The sequence below is a fragment of the Homo sapiens genome, chromosome 1, assembly GCF_000001405.40.
Source record: "Homo sapiens chromosome 1, GRCh38.p14 Primary Assembly".
In the NCBI taxonomy this organism is placed as follows: Eukaryota; Metazoa; Chordata; class Mammalia; order Primates; family Hominidae; genus Homo; species Homo sapiens.
The window spans coordinates 23,843,308-23,869,298 of NC_000001.11; the positions used below are offsets into that span (position 1 = coordinate 23,843,308).

A 25,991-nucleotide genomic window follows, 5' to 3' on the forward strand; every position below is an offset into this window, starting at 1 on the left:
TTGGGAAATGGAAGCTGGAAACTTGGGGCCATTGGAGCTGCAATGGTTTGGTGCTTCTTGCACAACTCTTGCTAATTTCATTTTAGTTACTTATATCTTTGGTTATGATAAATGGAATATTTTCATTGTATTCTAGTTTCTGGACTGTAGAAATGTAATTGATTTTTGTCTCTGATCCAACAACTTATTAATTCTAATAATTCATTTGTATATTATTTGAGGTTTTCTATGTGGACAGTTTCATCACCTGAGAACAATGACAGTTTGGTTTAATCCTTGCTGCTCCTTACATCCCTTTACTTCCTTTGCTTTTTAAATTTTATTATTTAGAGACGGGGTTTTGATCTGTCACCCAGGCTGGAGTCTAGTGGTGTGATCCATCTCAGCTCACTGCAGCCTCGACCTCCCAGGCTCAAGCAATCCTCCCACCTAAGCCTTCCAAATAGCTGAGACTACAGGTGTGCACCACCACGCCTGGTTACTTTTTGTATTTTCTGTAGAGATGGGGTCTTGCTATGTTGCCCAGGCTGGTCTGGAACTCCTGGACTCAAGAAATCCACCCGCCTCTCCTTCCCAAAGTGTTAGGATTACAGGCGTGAGCCACTGTACCTGGCCTTCATTACTTCTTTCCAGCCTTCTTTTTAACATAAACATTTAACGCTATATTTTCCTGAAGTACTTTTATTTTTAAAGCTACATCTTATAAGGTTCAATATATAGTGTTACTATCATTCCAAGTATTTTCTTTTCTTTTTTTTTTAGAAGTGTGCATGAAGTTGCTTTAAGACTGTGAAGAACCATATAAGCAATATTATTATCATCAGCTTGCTCTCTAATTCTGGGCAGAAAGTGATCTAATTAAAATTGGCTGTGCTAATCTACTTACACTAATGTGTTACTTTTTTCTTTCACAACCAGGCTTCATTTGCCTCACAAGAACTACATATTTGGAATTCTTTATATCTCATGGCACAATCCATAAATTTATGAATCAGTAACATAATGAGTTAGTGTATTTTAACTTTTACAAACACAGTTTTTTCTTCTCCAAGTTTTTGTTATTGTTCTTTAATTATATTGTAGACACTAAATAGCTTATATGATGTTGCTTCTTTGGTATTTGAGATTTGCAAATGTTCCATATGTGCTTGAGAAAAACACATATTCCTTAAATGTTGGATAAAGATTTCTAAATATATCTACTTGGCTGGGTGTGGTGGCTCACACCTGTAATCCCAGCACTCTGGAAGGCTGTGAGGTAGGTGGATCACTTGAGCCCAGGAGTTCGAGACTAGCCTGGGCAACATGGTGAAACCCCGTCTCTACAAAAAAAAAAAAAAAAAAAAAATTAGCTGGGCATCGTGGTGTGCCTATAGTCCCAGCTACTTGGGAGGCTGAGGAGGAAGGATCACTTGAACCTGGGAGGTGAAGGTTGCAGTGAGCCGAGATCACACCACTGTACTCCAGCCTGGGCAACAGAGCAAGACTCTGCCTCAAAACAAAACAAAACAAGATTTCTAAACATATCTATTAAGGAAAAATTAAATAGAAAACTTGATTAGATCTCTAACAAAGAGGCTGAACTGGTAGTCAATTCAGAAGAATGGTATTAGAAGTGAGAAGCAGAAAAAACACAGGAATTACATTTTTTGTTCAGTGTTAAGGAGATTTTGCAAATCTCCTTAAAAAAAAAACACACACAAACCAGAAACTGATCTTAAAGCTATAAGCAGTATAAGTTGAAACTAGGAAAAGAAAGCTATACCATGTTTTTTTGGTAGAAATGATTGTGATGTACAAATTTTTTATTTGATCATACTTAAAAAGACAGAGCAGAATCACATTCATTTTCTTAATAGTATCACTGTAAACATAGCGAATTTTGGCGCTTTTAGATTGCTCTGAAAATTTCTGAAGAGTTGACCATAGCAGCCTGGTAAGCCTTTTCCTTTCCCCCAAAGCTCTCCTGCCCTTTGCAGAAAGACTGTTGGTGACAACTGATGCTAACTAAATAGCATGTGGTTGAGCTTGCCAAATCCTTCCACCTCCTCCCATAGGCAACAGGGTGACTTGGCTTAAAGGCATTGAGTAAGCAAGTAGGTTATCAGAGAACAGAGGGAAGATTCCATTGTAGATAATTTCCAAATATTACAATTGATGAACTCAGAGTTCAACTGCTCAGTTCCTTCTTCTGCTGACCTGATACAGATATAATCACAATGGATCTCAGATCTTTGGTCCATTTAGACATCAGGGTAATGTACTCAGTTCCTTTAATTAAAATGTGTTGGAAAAGCCATCTCTGGGTGGAGAAGAGAAGTTCGTTGATTATAGTGATGGTACTATAAGAGAAAAACTGAAGCAGGAAAACAGTGAGCAGCGCCTCTTTCTTCTTGCACTCAAATGATTACTTCACTCCTGTCAGCTTTATAGTCCAAGCAAACTCTGCGGGGACAGCAGAGGGTGGCAACTGGGGTAGAGAGATGAAGAGACCTTTATCTGGATCTGTGGACCACTTCAGATCTCCTTGAATTCCCAGCATTGTTATCTGCAGAAAACAAAAGGGAATGAAACAAACTGGTAATGCACTAATGAGTATAGAATACAGGCTGACTATGGTAGGAAACAGCCACGCTGGGCCAGGGCAGGAAAGCCAGTCTAAAAGAGGTGTGAATATGGGAGAAACCTGGCAGGGAAGGAAGAAAGGAAGGATCTGCCAATTCCTTTACAGAAAGTTACATCTTAAGACTGACTAAGCCTCTTTACCTTTGTAGTTGAGGTAGTTATGGGGGATTCAAGGTTTAAGACTCCATTTTCTGGCCAGTGCAGAAAAATGGCATAAACAGCCGATCCCTTTGAGGTATACCTGGGAAAACAGAAACAACACTGTCAAAGATACCTGACTTGTTATCCTGATATACAACTTTATACATTTCCTCCTTTTTAATGTTAATTTTCTTTTCTTTTCTTTTTTTTTTTTTTGAGACAGAGTCTCCCTCTGTTGCCCAGGCTGGAGTGCAATGGTGTGATGTTGGCTCACTGTAACCTCCGCCTCCTGGGTTCAAGCAATTCTTGTGGTTCAGCCTCCTGAGTCACTGGATTACAGGTGTGCACCACCACGCCTGGCTAACTTTTGTATTTTTAGTAGAGATGGCATTTTGCTATGTTGACCAGGCTGGTCTTGAACTCCTGGCCTCAAGTGATCCACCTGCATTGGCCTCCCAAAGTGCTGGGATTACAAGTATGAGCCATTGCACTCAGCTCCTTATTTATTTTTTTTTTGAGACGAAGCCTTGTTGTCCAGGCTCTTGTTGTCCAGGATGGAGTGCAGTGGCGTGATCTTGGCTCACTACAACCTCCACTTCCCAGGTTCAAGCAATTCTCCTGCCTCAGGCTCCTGAGTAACTGGGATTACAGGTGCCTGCCACCATACCCTGCTAATTTTTGTATTTTTAGTAAAGACGGGGTTTCGCCATGTTGGCCAGACTGGTCTTGAACTCCTGACCTCAGGTGATCCACCCGCCTCGGCCTCCCAAAGTGTTCGGATTACAGGCGTGAGTCACTGTTTTGGGCCTAATTTCTTTTTTTTTAAGTGATGGAGTCTTGCTGTGTTGCCCAACACAACTTGCTGTGTTGTGCTGGGCTCAAGTGATCCTCCCACCTTGGCCTTAGAAAGTGCTGGGATTACAGGCATGAAGCACTGCACAAGGCCACTCATTCCCCTTTCAATTATCTACCAAATCCCAGTCCTCGAGTCTGTCACTGTTACTAGGGAGCACCAATAACTCAATACCAATGAAGGTGTGCAGGAAGGAGGCAGTCTATAAAACTCTATCTGGTGATACTATCTATTTTCCCTACCAATTGGGTTAAGTTGTCTTTAAAAATTATCTCCTACATCAGTTACTGCAAATAAATAGAGCCATTTACCTTATTATTCAAATCTCTTTTCTATTCCAAATCCATGTGAAAATAGCAGAGACTATAACAAGGACAAGACATGCAATGAAAACAAATTTGTTGTTCAGAGATTTCTTTTTTTTTTTTTCTGAGACTGCACCCAGCCTGTTCTGAAATTTCACTATGTTTAGAGAAGAGGATGAAAATCACTACTATGGTTTGAATGCATCTCCCAAATCTCATGATGGAAACTTAATCCCCAAATTCATATGTCGATGGTATAGTATTTAGAGGTGAGGCCTTTGGGAAGTAATTAGGATCATATAAGGTAATCAGGGCAGGGCCCCATGATGGGACTGATGGCTTTATAAAAGGAAGAAAGACCTGAGTGGACATGCCCACTCTCATCCCCAACCATGTCATGATGTAGCAGGAAGGCCCTTACCAGATGCTGGTGCTATGCTCTTGAACTTCCCAGCCTCCAGAACTGTGAGCTAAATAAACCTCTATTCTTTAAAAATTATCCAGTCTAAGCCAGGTGCAGTGGCTCATGCCTGTAATCCCAGCACTTTGAGAGGCAGAGGCAGGTGGATCACTTGAGGCCAGGAGTTTGAGACCAGCCTGGCCAACATGGTGAAACCCCATCTCTACTAAAAATGCAAAAATTAGCTGGGCGTGGTGGCGGGTGCCTATAATCCCAGCTGCTTGGGAGGCTGAGGCAGGAGAATTGCTTGAACCTTGGAGGCAGAGGTTGCAGTGAGCTGAGATTCTGCCACTGTACTCCAACCTGGGTGACAGAGTGAGACTGTCTAAAAAATAATAATAAAATAAAATAAAAATCCAGCCTGTGGGATTCAGTTATAGCAACAGAAAATGGACTAAGACAACCACTAAACAGAAACTCATCCAAAACAGAGGGATTAATAGAGGGATTAGATCCAGAGACCTAAGCTCTCTGGTATAATAAAAGCAGTTCCCTTTAATTGAACACTGAGTTTGTGCCTGGCACTCATCTCATTTAATCCTCACAACACTATAAAGCATCATCACTCCATTCTGCAGTGGAAAAAATGGGGCCCAAGATCAAATAACTAGATCCAGAAGTCCAAGTATGAATGGAAAGAATTTTGGATGGGGCTCCGTACAATCCAAGCATTCATTATTACTATTTTTAGGGGGCAGGGTAATAATCTCAATAAATTGACTGATGCTTTGTTGCTCCTTCCCTTTTCACCAAACCCACTCTCTCCCTTCACTAGTCAAAGATAACCAAGTAGCCTGAGACATAACTCAAATGGGGTACAAATTTTATAGGAAAATAACCTTCTGGATTTTCTCAAGGCAACTTCCAGCCTGGCTTGTGACATTGTGGACCCAAGGAGATACCAGTTCCGGATGGGGCACTGTTCTGTTCTTACACACAACAGAAGACAAGACTCACCATACAGATGTTGTGTTCTTTTCCCATTGCACCCGCCATGGTTTGGAGGCATAGATAGCCTCCCCATTGATGCTCAGCCATTTCCCAACAGCAAGAAGCCTTTCTTGGAAGATGGGAACAATCAGTCCATCTTTAGTTGGTCCAATGTTCAGAAGATAGTTGCCTCCCAAACTTACTGTCTGAACCAGTTCCTGGAGAGAACAGAAACAATGAAAGTCTAGCTATGAATGCCAAGCCTGGCATCATGCTTAAAATAGACAGAGAAGAAAAAGAATCTAGGGCACACTCTGTTTTTTAAATATCCTCTGCTGTTTTAATTTTTTTTTTTTTCTTTTTGAGCTGGAGTTTCACTCTTGTCGCCCAGGCTAGAGTGCAATGGCGTGATCTTGGCTCAACTGCATCTCGGCTCACTGCAACCTCCACCTCCCTGTTCAAGCGATTCTCCTGCCTCAGTCTCCTGAGTAGCTGGAATTACAGGCATGCGCCACCACATCCAGCTAATATCATTCTATTTTTAGTAGAGACAGGGTTTCACCACGTTGGCCAGGCCAGTCTCAAAACTCCTGACCTCAGGTGATCTGCCTGCCTTGGCCTCCCGAAGTGCTGGGATCACAAGCATGAGTCACCGCACCTGAGCTAAAAATTCTCTCTCTATATATATTTTTGTCACTATAAAAGCAGGTTAGGCTCATGTGAGTAAATGAAAAATCAGGCTATATTATATTAACTTGAATTTCAGGGAGTGGCCATGGAGCACTTCCTGTGACACTGTACTTCTCATGGTGCTGAGTGCAGTGGGAAGGGTCATGCCCCAGAAACATGAGGTGTGGGCAGGGAAGCTGAGAATTTCAGGACATTCCTTACGCATTGGGCTATATAAATGAACATGCTGCCCCTTTGGGAAAACTGCTATAAAGAGATACGTTCTTTTTTTTTTTTTTTTTTTTTTTTTGAGACGGACTCTTGCTCTGTCTCCCAGGCTGGAGTGCAGTGGCACAATCTCGGCTCACTGCAACCTCCGCCTCCTGGGTTCAAGTGATTCTCCTGCCTCAGGCTCCCGAGTAGCTGGGACTACAGGTGCGCACCACCATGCCCAGTTAATTTTTGTATTTTTAGTAGAGATGGGGTTTCACTATGTTGGCCAGGCTGGTCTTGAACTCCTGACTTTGTGATCCACCTATCTCAGCCTCCCAAAGTGCTGGTATTACAGGTGTGAGCCACCGTGCTCAGCCAAGAGATACATTCTTTAAGACTTCTGGAGTGGGATTTGGGTGTGTGTGTTTTTACTGTGACCTTGAACAGGTATTATACATATCCAGGCAGCTCAGAAAAACTAAGGTTATATAGAGAAAATTTTAAATTCATTACAGAATTTGAAGAATTCAGACAGGCATGGTGGATCACACCTGTAATCCCAGCACTTTGGGAAGCCAGGACAGGTGGATTACCTGAGGTCAGGAGTTTGAGACCAGCCTGGCCAACGTGGTGAAGGCCCTGTCTCTACTAAAAATACAAAAATTAGCTGGGCACAGTGGTAGGCACCTGTAGTCCCAGCTATGCGGGAGGCTGAGGCAAGAGAATCACTTGAACCCGGGAGGTGGAGGTTGCAGCAAGCTGAGATCGTGCCATTGCACTCCAGCCTGGGCAACAAGAGCGAAATTCCATCTCAAAAAAAAAAAAAAAAGAATTAAAGAATTCATTATAAGAATTCATTACAGTACTCCAAGTGACACCACACCATTAACTTTTGATGTCTTCTTCTAGTCTTTTTCCTATGTAGTTAATTTTATATAGTTGTAATAATATGTAACTTATTTTATTTATTTATTATTATTTAAAAAAAATTTTTGTTTCAGACGGAGTCTAGCTCTGTCACCCAGGCTGGAGTGCAGTGGCGCAATCTCAGCTCACTGCAACCTCTGCCTCCTGGGTTCAAGCAATTCTCCTGCCTCAGCCTCCTGAGTAGCTGGGATTATAGGCATGTGCCACCACGCCCAGCTAATTTTTTTTGTATTTTTTAGTAGAGACGGGGTTTCACCACATTGGCCAGGATGGTCTCGAATTCCTGACTTTGTGATCCACCCTCCTTGGCCTCCCAAAGTGCTGGGATTACAGGTGTCAGCCACCGTGCCTGGCCACTTATTTTTATTTTTTAAAATAGAGATGGGGTCTCACTATGTTGTTTAGGCTGGTCTTAAACTCCTGCCCTCAAGCAATCCTCTTGTCTTGGTCTCCCAAAGTGTTGGAGTTACAAGTGTGAGCCACCACCATGCCCAGCCAATATGTAACTTTATTAAAAATAATAATAATAATAGAGATGGGGTCTTTCTATTTTGGCCAGGCTGGTCTTGAACTCCTGGCCTCAAAGGATCCTCCCACCTTGGCCTCCTAAAGTGTTGGCATTACAGGTATGAGCCACTGTGCCCAGCCAATATGTAACTGTTTTTTCATTCAGTGCTCTAAACATTAACCCATATTAAATTTGTCAACATTTTTATGGTTACCAGGAGTTCGAGACAAGCCTGGCCAACATGAAGAAACCCTGTCTCTACTAAAAACACAAAAATAAGCTGGGCATGGTGGCACGTGCCTGTATTCCCAGCTATTCGGGAGGCTGAGGCAGGAGAATTGCTTGAACCCGGGAGACGGCGGTTGCAGCAGACCGAGATCGCACCACTGCACTCTAGCCTGGGTGACAGAGTGAAGTTCGTTCATAAATAAATAAATAAATATACACATACATACATACATACATACATACATACATACATACATACATACAAATAATCCTGGGAAGGACCTCTGCACAACTTTCTTGTGTAACTCTAATTATTTCCTTAGGACAGGTTTCTGTTAGTCTATTCAATGTCCTTAAAAGGGTTCTATTGACCTGCACTTCTATCCAGAGTACTTCCATCACTCTTACATAAAAAAGCTGGTTTTGCAGCCATAAAAGAGAATGTGTCCTTTGCAGGGACATGGATGAAGCTGGACATCACTCTTACATAAAAAAGCTGGTTTTGCAGCCATAAAAAAGAATGAGTTCATGTCCTTTGCAGGGACATGGATGAAGCTGGAAACCATCATTCTTAGCAAACTAACACAGGAACAGAAAACCAAACACCACATGTTCTCACTCATAAGTGGGAGTTGAACAATGAGAACACATGGGACACAGGAAGAGGAACATCACACACCAGGGCTTGTTGGAATGTGGGGGTGAGGGGAGGGAGAGCATTAGGACAAATACCTAATGCATGTGGGGCTTAAAACCTAGATATCGGGTTGATAGTTTGCAACAAACCATCATGGCACATGTATACCTATGAAACAAACCTGCACACTCTGCACTTGTATCCCAGAATTTAAAGTAAAATTTAAAAAAAGAGGAAAAAAATAATTAAAATCAATCATATAGTATGTTAGAAGGTAATAATAATAATAATAATAATAAAAAGTGGTTTGAGATCCATAGTTAAAAAATAGTGAACTCAGGCCAGCTGCCATGGCTCATGCCTGTAATCCAGTGCTTTGGGAGGCTGAGGCTAGATCTCTTGAGGCCAGGAGTTTGAGACCAGCCTGGGCAACATAGCAAGACCCTGTCTCTACAAAAAATTTAAAAATTAGCTGGTTGTAGAGGTGCACACCTGTAGTTCTAGCTACTCAGGAGGCTGAGGTGGGAGGACCACTTGAGCCCCAGGAGTTTGAGGTTACAGTGAGGTATGATCGTGCCACTGCGCTATTGCCTGCATGACAGAGCAAGACCCCATTTCATTAAAAAAAACAAAAAACTCCCCTCTCCCTCTCCCTCTCCCCCCTCTCCCTCTCCCCACGGTCTCCCTCTCCCTCTCTTTCCACGGTCTCCCACTGATGCCGAGCCGAAGCTGGACTGTACTGCTGCCACCTCGGGTCACTGCAGCCTCCCTGCCTGATTCTCCTGCCTCAGCCTGCCGAGTGCCTGCGATTGCAGGTGCGCGCCACCACGCCTGACTGGTTTTCGTATTTTTTTGGTGGAGACGGGGTTTCGCTGTGTTGGCCGGGCTGGTCTCCAGCTCCTAACTGCGAGTGATCCGCCAGCCTCGGCCTCCAGAGGTGCCGGGATTGCAGATGGAGTCTGGTTCACTCAGTGCTCAATGGTGCCCAGGCTGGAGTGCAGTGGCGTGATCTCCGCTCGCTACAACCTCCACCTCCCAGCCGCCTGCCTTGGCCTCCCAAAGTGCCGAGATTGCAGCCTCTGCCCGGCCGCCACCCCGTCTGGGAAGTGAGGAGCGTCTCTGCCTGGCCGCCCATCGTCTGGGACGTGAGGAGCCCCTCTGCCTGGCTACCCAGTCTGGAAAATGAGGAGCGTCTCTGCCCGGCCGCCATCCCATCTAGGAAGTGAGGAGCACCTCTTCCCGGCCGCCATCCCATCTAGGAAGTGAGGAGCGTCTCTGCCCGGCCGCCCATCGTCTGAGATGTGGGGAGCGCCTCTGCCCCGCCGCCCCGTCTGGGATGTGAGGAGCGCCTCTGCCCGGCCGCGACCCCGTCTGGGAGGTGAGGAGCGTCTCTGCCCAGCCGCCCCATCTGAGAAGTGAGGAAACCCTCCGCCTGGCAACCGCCCCATATGAGAAGTGAGGAGCCTCTCCGCCCGGCAGCCACCCCGTCTGGTAAGTGAGGAGCGTCTCTGCCCGGCAGCCACCCCATCCGGGAGGGAGGTGGGGGTCAGCCCCCGCCCGGCCAGCCGCCCCGTCCGGGAGGGAGGTGGGGGGGTCAGCCCCCCGCCTGGCCAGCCGCCCCGTCCGGGAGGGAGGTGGGGGGGTCAGCCCCCCGCCCAGCCAGCCGCCCGGTCCGGGAGGTGAGGGGCGCCTCTGCCCGGCCGCCCCTACTGGGAAGTGAGGAGCCCCTCTGCCCAGCCACCACCCCGTCTGGGAGGTGTACCGAACAGCTCATTGAGAACGGGCCATGATGACAATGGCGGTTTTGTGGAATAGAAAGGGGGGAAAGGCGGGGAAAGGATTGAGAAATCGGATGGTTGCCGTGTCTGTGTAGAAAGAGGTAGACACGGGAGACTTTTCATTTTGTTCTGTACTAAGAAAAATTCTTCTGCCTTGTGATCCTGTTGATCGGTGACCCTACCCACAACCCTGTGCTCTCTGAAACGTGTGCTGTGTCCACTCAGGGTTAAATGGATTAAGGGCGGTGCAAGATGTGCTTTGTTAAACAGATGCTTGAAGGCAGCATGCTCGTTAAGAGTCATCACCACTCCCTAATCTCAAGTACCCAGGGACACAAACACTGCGGAAGGCCGCAGGGTCCTCTGCATAGGAAAACCAGAGACCTTTGTTCACTTGTTTATCTGCTGACCCTCCCTCCACTATTGTCCTATGACCCTGCCAAATCCCCCTCTGTGAGAAACACCCAAGAATGATCAATAAAGAATAAATAAATAAATAAATAAATAAATAAAAAACTGGACACCCTACTACCCACACCCACTTTAAGATATAGATTACAACCAACACCGTTAAAGCCCTTTTGCATGCCCTTCTCCATCCCAGCCCCCTCCTAAATTTTGTTTATAATGATCTCGCTTTTCTTCATAATTTTACCTCCAAAATATGCATCTGTAAACAATATGCTGTTTTTGCAAGCTTTTGAACATTATATAAAATAAATCATACTGCATGTTAAAAAAAAAAAAACAAAAACAAAAAACTCAAAGGTGCTCTTACCGAAATGATTTCAGATTCTTCTGTAACATCAGACAATGCCATGTCACGACGATAGCCCCAGGAAAACTTGTCAATGCTGGTGCACATCTCCCACTTGTGATCTGGCAAGCTCTGTGGCTTGAATTTATCTTCACAGTTATAGTATCCTCCATGGTGACAGGAACAGTTCTGACCCCATCGGTCATTTACTACCACCTCATCCTAAGGAGGGAAAGAATATTTGGTCATGAGGAGTAAAACCACTTGACTTCTTTATGTAATACACTTTGGTAAGGCTCTATTTGGAAGCAAGAAACTTAGTCTAGAGCAGTGGCTGTCAACTGGGGGCAATTTTGCTCTGGAGGGGACATTTGGTAAAGTCTAGAGACATTTTTGATTGTCACAACGGGGGTGGTATGCCATCTAGTGGGTAGAGACCAGGGATGTTACTAAACGTCCTACAATGCACAGGACAGCCCCCACAGCAAAGAAATATTCAGCCCTAAATGTCAACAGTACTGAGGTAGAGAAACCCTGCTGCAGAGATACATGTCAGGGCTGGGAGAGCTTGCTTTAAAGATCATCTGGTAAATCACTTTTTCTATAAGAGGAGAAATGAACAGGAGAGGACCTGCCTGGGGCCATGCCCCTAGGCAGTTTCAAAAGCTGGAACTACAAATCAGGTATCTGAACCCATGGCAGGCTGTTTTCCAACTATATAATCCCAGCCTTACTTACGTAAAAAAAAAGTCTTAAGACAATCCCACTCAAAAAAAAAAAAAATAGCAAATTCTTTTTCTTACTTCAAGGTTTAGCTGAAGAATGATAAATCATACATGGAATATCTTAATGTAAATGTTAAATGCAGCATATTTTATAACAGAGTGGCCAATACAAGATAAAAACTGAAACCATTTGGGAGGCCAAGGCAGGCAGATCATGAGGTCAGGAGATAGAGACCAACCTGGCTAACACGGTGAAATCCCGTCTCTACCAAAAATACAAAAAATTAGCTGGGCATGGTGGCACATGCCTGTAGTCCCAGCTATTTGGGAGGCTGAGGCAGGAGAATCGCTTGAACCTGGGAGGCGGAGGTAGCAGTGAGCCGAGATCGTGCCACTGCACTCCAGCCTAGGCAACAGCAGAGCGAGACTCCGTCTCAAAAACAAAAACAAAAACAAAACTGAAACCATGTTCAATTCATCACGGCAAAAAGAGATTTATTAAAAGTTTAAAATTCCCATTTCTTGCCTGTTTTAGAGTCATTCACATTGGTATGAAGTTTCTCCTATGGAAGCTAGTTAAGTGCCAAAGAGAAATAGAAGAATAGTCATTATTTGTAACTAGTTCAATCCAATGTCTGGTACTTGATTATCAATGTCTGGGCATCATGGGTCACAGAATTGAAAAGGACAACTCAAGATCAATTCAAGAACAGGTATGTAAAAGCCATTTCAGAGAAAAATGGGGTATTAACAATCCTAATTCTTCATTCAACACCTACCCATCCGCTTATTCAATAAGTATTTACTCAACAACTACCATGGGGCTCACACTGTGGGCAGATACTGGGTCTCCAAGGTGAATAAAACAGAGGTCTTGCCCTCAACCATCCAGCAGAGACTAGCAGAGGAGACAGATATGTGGACAATTACAATATGACATCATATCAGAGTTTATGCCTGGTTACAAGATTATCAAGGGCTTTGAGGTTCATAGCTGGCTCCACCACCTAGTAGTCAAGGGGTCTTAGGCAGGTAACTTTACCTTTTAAGTTAGTTACTTATCTATAAAAACAAACAAACAAAACCAACCAAACAAACAAAATCCAAAGGCAAATATCACCCACCTCACAGGGGTTTGAGAGGGAGGGATAAAAGTGACAGTGTGCCCAGACTCTGGCTCAGAGTGAATAAAGGTGTCTCCTTGCCACACCTCCTCTTTCTCAGAGTCCTCAGGTGATGTGAACGCTCCCTGTACACTCAGCCTGTCAAGGACAGACACAACCATGCACTCCTTCATCCCACAGAAGCTAATGCAGTACCCTCCACTTTGGCATTCGAACCAGTGTCTATGGATTGTGGAGACCTCAGGACATACTTCTACTATCATACTGGTCACCCTACAATGTACTTTGTTTGTATGTCTGTCTTTCTCTTCAGACTGTAGTTCCCTAAGAGCAGAAACCATTCATTCAGCATTTCCAAGGCTTAGCATGCGGCATGCTACGGCACCGGCTCTCAATAAATCCTGGTAGAAATGAAGGAGAATCTACAGTCCCCATATGTCTGCGAAGCTACTGTGAAGATGGGTTGAGGCACACCCACACAGAAGGTCCTGGTTGCTTAGGAATTATTGTTTAAGAGAGGCCGGCCGGGAGCGGTGGCTCACGCCTGTAATCCCAGCACTTTGGGAGGCTGAGGCGGGTGGATCACAAGGTCAAGAGTTTCAAGACCAGTCTGGCCAACATGGTGAAACCCCGTCTCTACTAAAAATACAAAAAATTAGCCAGGTGTGATGGTGTGCGCCTGTACTCCCAGCTACTCGGGAGGCTGAGGCAGGAGAATTGTGTGAACCCAGGAGGCGGAGGTTGCAGTGAGCCGAGATCGTGCCATTGTACTCCAGCCTGGGCGACAGTGCGAGACTCCCTCTCAAAAAAAAAAGAAAAGAAAAAAAAAAGCCAAAAAAGTTCAGGCTGTCTAGCTAGTCATGCTTTTTAAATGACACTGGGGTTGATATTTTCTTCCCTTTCCCAATCCTGCATCTTTGGCTAGTCATTTTTCCTTCTGTGATACTCCTTAAGCACAAACACTAGACTGTAACCTCACGTAGCAAGCGACCTAGCTCGAGGGGTATACACCCTGAACATATATACATAGACGCCATTTCAGAGACAAATGGGGTATTAACAATCTGAATTCTTGGTTCAACACCCACCTACTTTTCCTATTTATTCAGCAACTACCATGAGGCTCACACTGTGGCAGACACTGAGTTTCCAAGGTGAATAAAACAGAGTTCTTGCCCTCAACGATCCAGCAGAGACTAGCAGAGACAGATATGCAGACAATTACGATATGACATCACATCAGAGTTCATTACCTAGGGATGAACTGCACATCTGGGAGGTCACAAACATTCATCAAGTTCCAGAAAACCACTCTTTTTTTTTTTTGTGAGACAGAGTCTCGCTCTGTTGCGCAGGCTGGAGTACAGTGGCACGATCTCTGCTCACTGCAACCTCCGCCTCCCGGGTTTAAGCAATTCTCTGCCTCAGCCTCTCGAGTAGCTGGGATTAGAGGTGCCCACCACCACGCCCGACTAATTTTTGTATTTTCTTTTTTTTTGAGACAGAGTCTCGCTCTGTTGCCCAGGCTGGAGTGCAGTGGCGCCATCTTGGCTCACTGCAAGCTCCGCCTCCCGGGTTCACGCCATTCTCCTGCCTCAGCCTCCCAAGTAGCTGGGACTACAGGCATGTAAAAATTAGGCCCGGCCTAATTTTTGTATTTTCAGTAGAGACGGGGTTTCACCGTGTTAGCCAGGCTGGTCCTGAACTCCTGACCTCGTGATCCACCAGCCTCGGCCTCCCAAAGTGCTGGGATTACAGGCGTGAGCCACCACGCCCGGCCTTAGAAAACCACTCTTAATCTGTCTCTGTGCATCATATAGAATCTGTTTTTTTCTTTCTTCCCATTTTCTGAGCTTAGTAATAGAGACCCAATGAGACCCTTAGACTTTTTTTTTGAGAAGGAGTCTCACTCTGTCGCCCAGGCTGGAGTGCAGTGGCGCGATCTCGGCTCACTGAAAGCTCTGCCTTCCAGGTTCACACCATTCTCCTGCCTCAGCCTCCTGAGCAGCTGGGACTACAGGCACCCACTACCACGCCTGGCTAATTTCTTTTTGTATTTTTAGTAGAGATGGGGTTTCACTGTGTTAGCCAGGATGGTCTCGATCTCCTGACCTCGTGATCTGCCTGCCTTGGCCTCCCAAAGTGCTGGGATTACAGGCGTGAGCCACTGCACCTGGCCAAGACCCTTAGAGATTTATGAACTACCAAGGTACCTCAGTACAAACTGCTTTTACACTTAAGATTTTCCTTTTAAATCCACAACAAATCTAGAACATGTACAATCGTGAAATTTGCTACAGTGAAGATTAGGGTTTCCGCTACTTTGCAAGTACGCTAAAATACAAACTGTAAATGGGCAGCCATTATGCACTGCCTCATAGTGTTGATTATAGGGAGGCGTACTGGGTAGGCAACATTCCCCCAAGGATTTGGATATAAGGGAAGTAAGTGTGTCCCTTGAGAGTTAAACTATAAAATCAACATAGAGTAGGTGGGATTGTAGGCATCTGCATTTTATTCCTACCATTTAATTTTGTAGGTTTTGTGTATCTTATATGTTTTCTTTATTTTTATTTTTTGGAGACAGGGTTTCACTGTCACGCAGGCTGGAGTACAATGGCGTGATCTAGGTTCATTACAGCTTTGACCTCTTGGGCTCAAGTGATCCTCCCACGTCAGCCTCCCCCCACATCAGCCTCCTGAGTAGCTGGGACTACCTCCCGAGTAGCTGGGACTACAGGTCCGTGCCACCACACCCAGCTAATTTTATTTTTTGTAGAGATGAGGTCTCACTACGTTGCCCAGGCTGGTCTTGAACTCCTGGACTCAAGTCATCTGCTTGCCTTGGCCTCCCAAAGTGCTGGGATTACAGGCATGAGCTGCTATGCTTGGCCTGTATGTCTTTTATATGTTTTCTTTGTATTTTATTATATGTTTTAATATCTTTTTGGTGGTTTTCTCATTTATAACATTTGTTTGCTTAATAGAGTTTATTTTTTCTGTAGTGGTCTGGGAATTGTAATTACTATTTTTAGTCTACTATGTAAATTTACCACTGTTTAAACCTATATTGTCAAAGTTAAGAACTAAAGGAGATTGCCGGGTGCGGTGGCTCACGCCTGTAATCCCAGAACTTTGGGAGGCCAAGGTGAGCGGATCACCAGAGGTCAGGGGTTCGAGAGCAGCCTGCCCAACATGGCGAAACCCTGTCTCTACTAAAAACACAAAAATCAGCCGGCCAGGTGGCGGGCCCCTGTAATCTCAGCTACTCGGAAGGCTGAGGCAGGAGAATCACTTGAACTCGGGAGACAGAGGTTGCAGTGAGCGGAGATCGCACCACTGTACTCCAGCCTGGGTGACAGAGTGAGCCTCTGTCTCAATTAAAAAAAAAAAAAAACAACACTAAAGGAGAAGAAAACTTATACTCTAAGGGAGCCAGGGAAGATTAAAGGAGAAACCTTTAACATCCATTAAGTGTCCCAGTCCCTACTGCCCCCATGTTGATATTCCTGTTTATTATTGCTGCTGCTGTGGTTGTCTACTCCAGAGTTTGGCTCCTTGCACTTTCTTTCTTCATAGGAGATAAATAAGAAGTCATATAATCACATACCTTGACAGGGCTGTCATTGTAGAGCCATGAAAGAAAATTTGTGGAGTTCCAGTAAGTATCAGGACATTCCCACTCCCCATCAGACCAGATCAGATCAGGTTTATAGCTGGAAGACATGTGATCAGGACAGAGCTTATTATCTGAACATGTTCACAGTAAAATCTTATGGACCATTTTTTTTTTTAGAGATGGGGTTTCGCTATGTTGCCTAAGCTTGAGTCCAGCAGCTATCAACATGTATGATCACAATGCACTATAGTCTCGAATTCCTGGGCTCAAGCGATCCTCTTGCCTAAGCCTCCTGAGTAGTTGGGACTACAGGTGCACATCACTGCATTTGACTTGTGGACTGATTTTTGCAACAAATATTTTAAAATTAATTTTCCTTCATTTTGAAAGTATGTGGCATAAAAATTATCACAGTGCAGAGGATGTGGAAAACTGAAAACATTTGCTAATAAAACCAGTTTGCTAATAAAACCACCATTTAAAACAAACACAGCAGGCTGGGCACAGTGGCTCACACCTGTAATCCTAGCACTTTGGGAGGCCGAGATGGGCGGATCACGAGGTCAGGAGATCGAGACCATCCTGGGTAACACGGTGAAACCCCGTCTCTACTAAAAATACAAAAAAATTAGCCAGGTGTGGTGGTGGGCGCCTGTATTCCCAGCTACTCGGGAGGCTGAGGCAGGAGAATGGCGTGAACCTGGGAGGCGGAGCTTGCAGTGAGCCGAGATTGCGCCACTGCACTCCAGCCTGGGCGACGGAGTGAAACTCCGTCTCAAAAAAAAAAAAAAAAAACACACAGCATTTTGGTATATTTCCTCCTGATCTTTTCCTTTCTTCCTTTTTTTTTTTGAGACTGTTTTGCTTTGTCTCCCAGGCTGGAGTGCAGTGCTGTGATCTCGGCTCACTGCAACCTTCACCTGCTGGATTCAAGTGATTCTTGCACTTCAGCCACCCAAGTAGCTGGGATTACAGGTGTGCACCACCATGCCTGACTAATTTTCATATTTTCAGTACAGACAGTGTTTTGCCATCTTGGCCAGGCTGGTCTTGAACTCTTGGCAGCAAGTGATCCACCTGCCTCGGCTTCGCAAAGTGCTGGGATTTCAGGCATGAGCCACTGTGCCTGCCCTAATCTTTTTTCTTTATGCCTTTTAGGAAATGGAGGTGTAATCAGCATACAAACAATTTGGTTTCCTTTCAGCAACTAATTCCAATTAAGAATGGGTGCAGCTGGCCGGGCACAGTGGCTCACACCTGTAATCCCAGCACTTTGGGAGGCCGAGGCGGGCGGATCACGAGGTCGGGAGATCGAGACCATCCTAGCTAACACCGTGAAACCCCATCTCTACTAAAAATACAAAAAATTAGCCGGGCATGGTGGCGGGCGCCTGTAGTCCCAGCTACTTGGGAGGCTGAGGCAGGAGAATGGCGTGAACCCGGGAGGCGGAGCTTGCAGTGAGCCGAGATTGCGCCACTGTACTCCAGCCTGGGCGACGGAGCGAGACTCCGTCTCAAAAAAAAAAAAAAAAAAAAAAAAGAATGGGTGCAGCACACCAGCATGGCACATGTATACATATGTAATTAACCTGCACATTGTACACATGTATCCTAAAACTTAAAGTATAATAAAAAAAAAAAGAATGGTGTTTCAAGGAAGCAAAGGAAACAAAATGGTGCTTCAGGACTATAAGACTAAGATTTGCTTTGAAGATGTTTTAAGAGTTGGAACTATTCATAAAATGCATTTTTGTGGATAATTACCAAAGTCTGTACTGTAAAGGACTTATGGAATCCACTGGAGCCCCATTTGTACTCTAGCATATTATTACTCTGAGCCCTATAAGGCATGTATGTTGTGTGTATATACATAAATACATATGTATATACCTATATGGTAAGCATTATTATTCTCATTTGAGCAGCAAGACTTTGATGCTCAGTAGGGCAATTTGTTTCAGGTGACAAGGCTTGTAAGTAACAGGAGGTGGAACTCAAATACAAATCTGCCCATTTGTCCACTGTACTCCATAATTAGGCAGGTAAACTCTAGGAAGATCACTAAGTGGCAAGATATAACAGATGGTCTGTGATTTACTGTGTATAAGAAATTGTACTAGGCAATTTAAACTCATTACCTCATTAGTTCTCATGATTCTAGGATATACTATTATCCCATTTCACAGATAGAGAAACCAAGATCTCGAAAGATAAGTAGTTTGTTCAAGGCAACATAGCCAAGTACGATAAAAGAGTGGGGATCTAAGATTCAGTAATTCTAAATCTGTCCATGTCTCTGATGGTCTCTTACAATTGTTACTATTTTCTTAAGAGAAGTCATCTGGATAGAATCTGAATACAAGGTAATTTTTCTTTTCTTGAGACAAAGTTTTCCTCTGTAGCCCAGGCTGAAGTACAGTAGCAGGATCTCGGCTCACTGCAACTGCCTCCCTGGTTCAAGAGATTCTCCTGCCTCAGCCTCCCGAGTAGCTGGGACTACAGGTATGCACCAGCATGCCTGGCCAATTTTTGTATTTTTTAGTAGAGACGAGATTTCACCGTGTTGGCCAGGCTGGTCTCGAACTCCTGACTTCAAGTGATCTGCCTGCCTCGGCCTCCCAAAATGCTGGGATTACAGGCGTAAGCCACTGCGCCTGGCTAAAGGTGATTTTCCTTTGCTCTAAAGTGAGGGTCCAGGCAGCTGCCTCTGAAGCTTTAAGGGTCTACCGTCCTCTATGAGTCCCCAGGCTCGAGAAAGGCAAATGGGGATAAAACATTGTGAAGAACTAGTGACAAATCCCTAAGTGAAAGTGATCATTTAAAGAATAATGGTAATAACAACAGCCTTACTTTGTACCAGGCACCGTGACAGATACATTTCACATACTATTCTGAGCCCTACAAAGAAGGCATTATTATCCCCACTTTACAGAGTGAGAATCAAGCTCAGGAGAGTGTTCTGTTTAAGGCATGTAAGTAACAGGAGCCAGAATTCAAACACAAATCTGCCCGATGCCAAACCACCCCCTCTCCAGGGTCCTGACATAGGGAAAACGGCATGTAAGAAGGGAACTAAAATTTTGACTTTCTGCCATCCTGGGTTTTGTGTGATTGTTTCAATGTAGAAGGCAATATGGCCACATGACAGAAGTTCTGAAAGGCAGGAGGAAAGAACATATTTTGTCTTAATACAACCACCACTTTTTATTATTTTGATGTCTTTTAGGTTTTTTTCATACCTATCCCTCCTCCACTTTAATGGTACCCTATAGGAAGCTCTGATTTCATTGATAAAAGTCATAGGGCCAAAATATTTCAGTGTCTTACCTGTTAACAAGGTCGTACAGCTCTGGCATTGTTTTTGCACTGACAAAATGCTGTGTTTTGAAGCCATTTTTCTTATCAAGTAGATAGAGTGGATGGAACCACTCTAAGAGTGAGTGGTATAGTCCATAGCGGATGTTCCTTAAACAGAAAAACAGAACAGCAACTGTCATTAAGCATAGAACAAATAATTTATTTTAAGGAAAATCAGTTCTAGCATTTTTTCATTTCAGTGGCACTCACTCATAAGAGCATATAGAGAGGAATGGGATCCAAAACCATTTCCTTAAATTATTCACTATTCACTTAAGCAAAATGAGGTTTACTGTGTTTTTGATTAAACACATAACTACCTTTTATACATAAATATCTTAACACCAAAATATTATTTAAACCATCTTTTATCTTTTAAGTCAATTATCCCAACAGAGTATAGTCCTGCTGGGCGCAGTGGCTCATGCCTGTAATCCCAGCACTTTGGGAGGCTGAGGTGGGAGGATCCCTTGAGTCCATGAGTTTGAGACCAGCCTGGGCAACATAGTGAGACCTTGTCTCCACAAAAACTGTAAAAATTAGCTGAGTGTGGTGGTGCGAGCCTGTAGTCCCAGCTACTTGGGAGGCTAAAGTGGGAGGATGGCTTGAGCCCAGGAGGTAGAGATTGCAGTGAGCTAAGATTGTGCCACTGGAGTCTAGCAAAGGCGACAGAGTGAGACCCTGTCTCAAAACAAAAACAAAACAAAACAAAACAAAAAACCATATAGCCTTATTTTTAAAAAATGTCTTCCCTGTCAATCATAAAATTTCATATTTAAAGAAACTGGAAAATAGAAAATCAAATATGCAAAGTACTCTTACTCAGAAATAATCATTAGTAACATTTTCCACACAGTTGAAATGAATATAGGTTTATCGTTTTATTTATCTAAGATTTACTAATAGTTCTTTCTCTTTTTTTCCTTTTTTTTTTTTTTTTTGAGATGGAGTCTCGCTCTGTCGCCCAGGCTGGAGTGCAGTGGCGCAATCTCGGCTCACTGCAAGCTCTACCTCCCGGGTTCACGCCATTCTCCTACCTCAGCCTCCCAAGTAGCTGAGACTACAGGTGCCCACCACCACACCCAGCTAATTTATTTTTTATTTTTACTAGAGACGGGGTTTCACTGTGTTAGCCAGGATGGTCTTGATCTCCTGACCTCATGATCCACCCGCCTCGGCCTCCCAAAGTGCTGGGATTACAGGCGTAAGTCACCACGCCTGGCCAAACTAATAGTTCTTAACGTACACAAAATGAAATGTGGTTGATGACCTATTTTCATATTTAATAAAGCTTGCTTTGGGTTAAGAATGGTGAGTGTTACAAAAACCTTATAATGCAAGAAGCAATTACACAGATAAAAAACAACTGAAGTATTTCATCATATGACCCAGGGACTAAATAAAGATGGTAAAAATCATGACTCCTGAAGTCCATATCTAATCAATATCTCAGAGTTTTACAGCAGGACTTTAAGCAAAGCACAGTGCTGAGAAACAAACTGAGCAGGTGACAGGAGTCAGCAAACTCTTTTTGTCTTTTTTCTTTTTTTTTTTTTTTTGAGACGGAGTCTCGCTCTGCCACCCACGCTGGAGTGCAGTGGTGCGATCTTGGCTCACTGCAACCTCCGCCTCCTGGGTTCAAGTGATTCTCCTACCTCAGCCTCCCGAGTTGCTGGGACTACAGGCAAACGCCACCACGCCCGGCTAATTTTGGTATTTTTAGTAGAGACAGGGTTTCACCATATTGGTCAGGTTGGTCTTGAACTCCTGACCTCATGATCTGCTTGCCTCTGCCTCCCAAAGTCCTGGGATTACAAGTGTGAGTCAACGCACCCGACCAGTGAACTCTTAAAGATCCAGACAGTGTTTTAGGTTTTGCAGGCCATTTGGTCTCTATCTCAGCTCTCAAATTGTAGCTTGAAAGCAGTCACAGACAGTGCATAAATGAATAGGCATGGCTGTGTTCCAATCAAACTTTATGATTTATACAGACACTCAGCCTACTCCTCAAACAGGACATCAAGTAGCATCGTAGTCTATGTTGGGTATCCTTCATCTAACCAGACATGGCCATGAACTTCTGTAACGGTGTCCCCTTTGGTCACGTGAAAACTGTGAAGCATCAAACACTGCCAATTCAAAGGCCAGAAGCCCTTCCGGCTACTTGCTATATGCAAACCTAGAAAACACACAGGAGTAGAAGGCCAAAAGCCCTTCAGGCTACTTGCTATATGCAAACCTAGAAAACACACGCAAGTAGAGGAGGTACAGAACTCTTGACAGCCAGATCCAAAGAGATAACAGAGTAACCATCCCTGGACACTCACCTCTTCCGGAGAGCTGTTCCCAATTCACCAACCAAATCCCGATGAGGCCCCACGTCTTTGGAGTTCCAGTTCCAAGACACAGGACTCGGCCAGTTTGTGAAGCCTTCGTGATGCTTTGTCGTCAAAACTACATACCTGTGGACAGCAAAACCACATGAGCAAAGGAAGTGGGCAGTGAACTTGCATGAACTTGCCCAGCATGCCTGAGGCTTTTTAAATAGCTGAAAGAACTTGACCACAACAAATGTACTTGTACCAGTGACTATATTAGTGATATCCAGGAAGCTGCTGCAGTCACAATTCCCCTTGGGCATTGCTCCAAGAATGGAAGCAGATTTGAGGAAGTCCCAACCCTCAGTCCCCAGCAAAGGAGGAGGCCCAGAGGGAAGGAAGGAGTGGGTAAGGGAAAAGAAGTGCACCTTAGCTCTCTGATTCTTCAACACTTCTGGTAGGAACGATTAACTTTCTTTCATTCTTTGCCCTGAAGGAGAAAGAGCTCTACTGGAAATGGCAGATAATAGAAAACTAAGCCATTTGCTGGCCAGGCATGGTGGCTCACACCTGTAATCCCAGCACTTTGGGAGGCCAAGGTGGGCGGATTACCTGAGGTCAGGGGTTCAAGACCAACCTGGCCAATGAGGCGAAAACCCATCTCAACTAAAAATACAAAAATTAGCCGGGCATGGTGGTGTGTGCCTGTAGTCCCAGGTATTTGAGAGGCTGGGGCATAAGAATCACTTGAGCCTGGGAGACAGAGGTTGCAGTGAGCCGAGATCATGCAACTGTACTCCAGCCTGGGCTACAGAGCAAAACTGTTTCAAAACAACAATAACAACAAAATAGAAAACTTTCTAGAAAACTAAGCTGTTTGGTTTACCAAGCCTACATAAATTGCCTCTCATTTATTATAGAGGTGACAAAAGACCCAATAACTGGGAGAAAAGGCAAGTGTTGAAATAACAACCAAATCACTCAATATTTAATTTGCTTTTATGGCACAAAAATAGGTAATGCACTTTATGGTTCAATCATTGGCCAGAGTAGGGAACTCCAGGATTTGAAGGGCCAGATAGTATTTTAGGCTCTGTGGGAGCACATTCCTCTCTGTAGTGTATTCTTCTTTAAAACATTTTACAACCCTTTAAAAATGTAAAAACCATTCTCACCTCATGGGCCTTAAAAAACTGGCAGAGGACCAATCCCTCTGGCCAGTTTGCAGACCCTGGTGCAGTGGAAACAACCTTGACGTCATGAGACCTGGAGTCTAGGACATTATATTCCTTCCTCTCTTTGGGCCAGTCATCTCATCCATGAAATAAAAGGCATGGAAAGAGGTTATCTCCCAGATTTTAATTTTTCTCACTTGTAAGTTATGGATCCCTAAGGCCCCTAGGAGACAAACACTTCCTCTGCTTAATCAAGTCTTATACTCCCATACATTTAATGGCAAACACTAAATGCCAGTTGTAACTTCTCTTTAGTACAAGTGAATTCAAAGTTCAAGAGAAACGAAAACCCGGAAGATGGCTGAGGAACCAAGGTAAGGATGGAAGACTGCTCTAAGCCAGGGGCTGGGGAAACCTCCCCGCCTCCATTTTTACTCTTCTCCAACCCACTTCTCTCCCAGCAGCCGAATGAATCTTTCTAGAAGCTGATAGTAACCACTCCCTGACTTAACATCTGTCAATACAGGGCTCTCAAGGCTCACTCCTTCAGGACAAGCCCCTGCCTTGACAACTTCATGGGTCGTGGTCTCCCCTTATCCCCACCCCAGCGCTCTCTACTCTGTTCTCTGAACCAGCCACCCCCAAGTTCCAACAGTTCTCAGAGAGAGTCAGACCCTTCCTGGACACTTCCTACGTAAAAGGGATTGAGAGGAGCAAACGAATGACTATCTGTACTGTTGCCCAAATACACTGCACACCAGAACTCCCCTCTCTTTCCCTCTTAGAGACATTAGGGCTCAAAGGGTTGTATCCTTATATAACCCCTTTCTACAACCATAGAAGAGGCTGCAGGGAGGCTGAAGTGACATGTCCAGGTTCACAGTTGAATTAGAACCAGGCTCCACACCACTGATTTGAAACCCTGGAGTCCTGATAGTGCTGTCAATCTGAAAGGGACATCAGGTATGGCCTAACTCAGCCCTCTCGGTGCACAGGTGCAGATACCCAGGGCTTCCCAGCCTGCCATCTCCCTGAACCTTCATTTATCAGTCCCCAGTCAAACGCACCTCCTCCTCCTCATCAGGTGTGCCAGGCTCACTCCTGTGGCCGCAGGAGGCCACACGCGGGCCCCGGGGTCATGGGGGCGACCGGCAGCTGCGCGCCCCAGCTGGCCGCCCAGCCCCACCTCCTGTTTGCCGCCCGAGCCGGGAAGGGGCGCCGCTCCCCGGGACCACACTCACTTGGCGCCCGCGGCCTGGAAGAGGTCGGCCCACTCCTCCGGGTGGAAGAAGCGCGCAGTGAACTGCGGTCCGAAGTCGGCGTAGCTGAAGCCGGGCGGGTAGTTGTCGCGCATGAAGCGCTGGTACTGCGGCCGCCCCTCGCCCTGCCAGTGCCACCAGAACCACTCGCTGCCCCAGGCGGGCACCGAGAACACGCCCCAGTGGATGAACACCCCGAACTTGGCTTCGTCGAACCAGGCCGGCAGCGGCCGAGAATCCAGGCTCGGCCAGTCTGGGGTGTAGCGGCGCGGAGGCTGGGCCCGACGCACCGACTCGGCCGCTCCGAGGAAGAGCAGCAGCAGCAACAGCGCGGGACCCGCCGGCCGCGACCTCATCCCCGGAGCCCGCATCGCTACCCCTCAGCGACGCGGCCCACTCTTAACGCGCAGGTGCCCGCGGGCGGCTCCGCCCACTCTGACTAACGATTGGCCCGGAAGGAAAAAGGGGTGGGACAACCTGGACAGGTTGGCCCGAGTCGCTTCCTCCTCGGGTCGGAGGAGCGCCCTCTGGTGCTCAAGAAGGGAAAGACGCAGGGAGGCGTTGACAGCGCTTCGCTGAAGGACGAATAAAAACCTTGAAAAGGGACTTAACTGCGAGGTTAAATCGTGGAGGTGAGCAAGGCCCAGTGTGTGCGGAGAACTCACATTTAAGAAGGAGTCCATTGAGCCGGACGCAGTGGCTCACGCCTGTAATCCTAACACTTTCGGAAGTCGAGGCGGGAGGATCGCTCTGAGCCCACAAGTTGGAGACTAGCCTGTCTCTATAAAAAATAAACAAAATGAGCCTGGCGTAGTGGTGCACGTCTGGAGTCCCAGCTACTCGAGAGGCTGAGGTGGGAGGTTCGGGATCGCTTGAGCCCGGGAAGTCTGGGCTGCAGTGAACCGAACCGTGATCACGCCTCTGGGAGTAGTCCATTTTGCCGCAGCAATCCTGCAGGGGTAGGCTGAAGTGAGATCACGAGTTTTATTTAGTGATCACTTGGGAGCCATAGGGGGCTTTTGAGTTGTCCTGTAGCACAAGGCTGGAGGAGGAGATAACAGACCGGAAGGGTATCTAACAGCCCTGACAGAAATAAGGAGGTAGAGGGATGATGGGAAGAAACGTTATGAAAGGAGAGGAAAGAGAAAACTGGGTACTGAAAGAGGGAGAGCGGGCAGGACCGTTTCATCTGTCTGGTATTTACTGAGCTTTCTTTGGGAATTCCGAGGCATTTCAAATAGCTTAGTTTGTACCGAGATACCGCCACTGCACTCCAGCCCCTGGGCGACAGAGCCAGACCAAGGAAGAAAGAAAGGAAGGAAGGAAGGAAGGAAGGAGGAAGGAAGGAAGGAAGGAGGAAGTGGAGAGCCAAGAGGACCCAGG

The 25,991-nt window shown here is 45.5% G+C and overlaps 1 protein-coding gene across 5 annotated transcripts, besides 2 other annotated features; it reads right to left on the minus strand.

The window, feature by feature from the left end:
- Nucleotides 1,770–24,983, minus strand: FUCA1 (alpha-L-fucosidase 1). 5 transcript variants are annotated; one of them, NR_174382.1, is made up of 10 exons: nucleotides 24,417–24,983; nucleotides 23,350–23,572; nucleotides 22,603–22,664; nucleotides 22,184–22,318; nucleotides 19,827–19,964; nucleotides 16,491–16,596; nucleotides 11,053–11,253; nucleotides 5,342–5,532; nucleotides 2,767–2,866; nucleotides 1,770–2,548 (listed from the first exon to the last, which is right to left on the minus strand). NR_174382.1 is itself a non-coding variant. In NM_000147.5 (8 exons), the coding sequence occupies exons 1-8, from the start codon at nucleotides 24,977–24,979 to the stop codon at nucleotides 2,408–2,410; spliced, it is 1,401 nt and encodes a 466-aa protein (NP_000138.2). In that variant the 5' UTR covers nucleotides 24,980–24,983; the 3' UTR covers nucleotides 1,770–2,407. The 5 variants fall into 5 exon arrangements, 1 of the variants encoding a protein (NP_000138.2); NR_174381.1 differs by lacking the exon at nucleotides 23,350–23,572 and having other exon boundaries at nucleotides 24,591–24,983; NR_174380.1 differs by lacking the exon at nucleotides 22,603–22,664 and having other exon boundaries at nucleotides 24,591–24,983.
- Nucleotides 21,945–23,144: an enhancer, noted in NCBI's record as "BRD4-independent group 4 enhancer chr1:24191742-24192941 (GRCh37/hg19 assembly coordinates)". NCBI's record gives its function as "activates an origin of replication core promoter dependent on BRD2, P300/CBP, MED14 and CDK7 cofactors, and independent of BRD4, by STARR-seq in HCT116 cells {active_cell/tissue: HCT116}" and the evidence as "EXISTENCE:reporter gene assay evidence [ECO:0000049][PMID:35650434]".
- Nucleotides 24,395–24,614: a silencer, noted in NCBI's record as "silent region_427". NCBI's record gives its function as "represses an Ori minimal core promoter by ATAC-STARR-seq in GM12878 lymphoblastoid cells {active_cell/tissue: GM12878}" and the evidence as "EXISTENCE:reporter gene assay evidence [ECO:0000049][PMID:35858748]".

Bases quoted from the DNA above. Each gene is read 5' to 3' on its own strand.
- FUCA1 (NM_000147.5), bottom strand. From the start codon at position 24,979: ATGCGGGCTCCGGGGATGAGGTCGCGGCCGGCGGGTCCCGCGCTGTTG. The intron at 5,533-11,052 runs GTAAGAGCACCT...TGTTCTCTCCAG, and splicing joins AAGAATCTGAAATCATTTCG to GAACTGGTTCAGACAGTAAG. The intron at 2,867-5,341 runs GTGAGTCTTGTC...CTGTTTTCCCAG, and splicing joins AAGAACACAACATCTGTATG to GTATACCTCAAAGGGATCGG.